This window comes from Homo sapiens, chromosome 5 (assembly GCF_000001405.40).
Source record: "Homo sapiens chromosome 5, GRCh38.p14 Primary Assembly".
NCBI classification, from domain to species: domain Eukaryota; kingdom Metazoa; phylum Chordata; class Mammalia; order Primates; family Hominidae; genus Homo; species Homo sapiens.
Window position 1 is genome coordinate 121,063,949 of NC_000005.10, and position 2,756 is coordinate 121,066,704.

General features: G+C 43.6%; 1 annotated feature.

The window, feature by feature from the left end:
- Window positions 542-1,141: an enhancer, noted in NCBI's record as "H3K27ac-H3K4me1 hESC enhancer chr5:120400185-120400784 (GRCh37/hg19 assembly coordinates)". NCBI's record gives its function as "activates a minimal SCP1, AML or CMV promoter by ChIP-STARR-seq in naive H9 embryonic stem cells {active_cell/tissue: H9 hESC(naive)}" and the evidence as "EXISTENCE:reporter gene assay evidence [ECO:0000049][PMID:30033119]".

Genomic DNA, 2,756 nt, shown 5'->3' on the forward strand with positions numbered 1-2,756 from the left:
AAATCAGAAAACATAAAATTCTCTTTCACCTGGAAGTAAGGTATCTCACTATTAAATTGAAAATAAAAGAATTCAATAAAACATTAGAGTATCCAAAAGGCTATAAATATAGCAGTAATAATGTACTTTCTGTACATTTTTAGATATAATTAGACCCATTTAGGGACATTTCATTTGAATTGTTGTTTGTATAGTTTAAAGAAAAATATAGCATAAATATTTAAAAATGTCACGAATGTACTGTGTAAAAATAGGTTTATCTTTGCTGTATTAAGATCTTACATGAAGGGAGGAGCCAAGATGGCCGAATAGGAACAGCTCCGGTCTACAGCTCCCAGCGTGAATGACGCAGAAGACGGGTGATTTCTGCATTTCCATCTGAGGTACCGGGTTCATCTCACTAGGGAATGCCAGACAGTAGGCGCAGGTCAGTGGGTGCATGCAGTGCGCCATGCGCGAGCCTAAGCAGGGCGAGGCATTGTCTCACTCTCGAAGCGCAAGGGATCAGGGAGTTCCTTTCCTAGTCAAAGAAAGTGGTGACAGACGGCACCTGGAAAATCGGGTCACTCCCACCCGAATACTGCGCTTTTCCGACGGGCTAAAAAAACGGTGCACCAGAAGATTATATCCCATGCCTGGATGAGAGGGTCCTACGCCCACGGAGTCTCGCTGATTGCTAGCACAGCAGTCTGAGATCAAACTGCAAGGCGGTAGCAAGGCTGAGGGAGGGGCACCCACCATTGCCCAGGCTTGCTTAGGTAAACAAAGCAGCCAGGAAGCTTGAACTGGGTGGAGCCCACCACAGCTCAAGGAGGCCTGCCTGTCTCTGTAGGCTCCACCTCTGGGGGCAGGGCACATACAAACAAAAAGACAGCAGCAACCTCTGCAGACTTAAATGTCCCTGTCTGACAGCTTTGAAGAGAGCAGTGGTTCCCCCAGCACACAGCTGGAGATCTGAGAACGGGCAGACTGCCTCCTCAAGTGGGTCCCTGACCCCTGATCCCCGAGCAGCCTAACTGGGAGGCACCCCCCAGCAGGGGCAGACTGACACCTCACAGGGCCAGGTACTCCAACAGACCTGCAGCTGAGGGTCCTGTCTGTTAGAAGGAAAACTAACAAACAGAAAGGACATCCACACCAAAAACCCATCTGTACATCACCACCATCAAAGACCAAAAGTAGATAAAACCACAAAGATGGGAAAAAAACAGAGCAGAAAAACTGGAAACTCTAAAAAGCAGAGTGCCTCTCCTCCTCCAAAGGAATGCAGTTCCTCACCAGCAATGGAATAAAGCTGGACGGAGAATGACTTCGACGAGCTGAGAGAAGAAGGCTTCAGACGATCAAATTACTCAGAGCTACGGGAGGACATTCAAACAAAAGGCAAAGAAGTTGAAAACTTTGAAAAAAATTTAGAAGAATGTATAACTAGAATAATCAATACAGAGAAGTGCTTAAAGGAGCTGATGGAGCTGAAAACCAAGGCTCAAGAACTATGTGAAGAAGGCAGAAGCCTCAGGAGCCGATGCGATCAACTGGAAGAAAGGGTATCCGTGATGGAAGATGAAATGAAGTGAGAAGGGAAGTTTAGAGAAAAAAGAATAAAAAGAAACGAGCAAAACCTCCAAGAAATATGGGACTATGTGAAAAGACCAAATCTACATCTGATTGGTGTAACTGAAAGTGATGGGGAGAATGGAACCAAGTTGGAAAACACTCTGCAGGATATTATCAGGAGAACTTCCCCAATCTAGCAAGGCAGGCCAACATTCAGATTCAGGAAATACAGAGAACGCCACAAAGATATTCCTCGAGAAGAGCAACTCCAAGACACATAATTGTCAGATACACCAAAGTTGAAATGGAGGAAGAAATGTTAAGGGCAGCCAGAGAGAAAGGTTGGGTTACCCTCAAAGGGAAGCCCATCAGACTAACAGCTGATCTCTCAGCAGAAATTCTACAAGCCAGAAGAGAGTGGGGGCCAATATTCAACATTCTTAAAGAAAAGAATTTTCAACCCAGAATTTCATATCCAGCCAAACTAAGCTTCATAAGTGAAGGAGAAATAAAATACTTTACAAACAAGCAAATGCTGAGAGATTTTGTCACCACCAGGCCTGCCCTAAAAGAGCTCCTGAAGGAAGCACTAAACATGGAAAGGGACAACCGGTACCAGCCACTGCAAAATCATGCCAAAATGTAAAGACCATTGAGACTAGGAAGAAACTGCATCAACTAATGAGCAAAATAACCAGCTAACATCATAATGACAGGATCAAATTCACATATAACAATATTAACTTTAAATGTAAATGGACTAAATGCTCCAATTAAAAGACACAGGCTGGCAAATTGGATAAAGAGTCAAGACCCATCACTGTGCTGTATTCAGGAAACCCATCTCACGGGCAGAGACACACATAGGCTCAAAATAAAAGGATGGAGGAAGATCTACCAAGCAAATGCAAAACAAAAAAAGGCAGGGGTTGCAATCCTAGTCTCTGATAAAACAAACTTTAAACCAACAAAAATCAAAAGAGACAAAGAAGGCCATTACTTAATGGTAAAGGGATCAATTCAACAAGAAGAGCTAACTATCCTAAATATATATGCACCCAATACAGCAGGACCCAGATTCATAAAGCAAGTCCTGAGTGACCTACAAAGAGACTTAGACTCCCACACAATAATAATGGGAGACTTTAACACCCCACTGTCAACATTAGACAGATCAACGAGACAGAAAGTCAACAAGG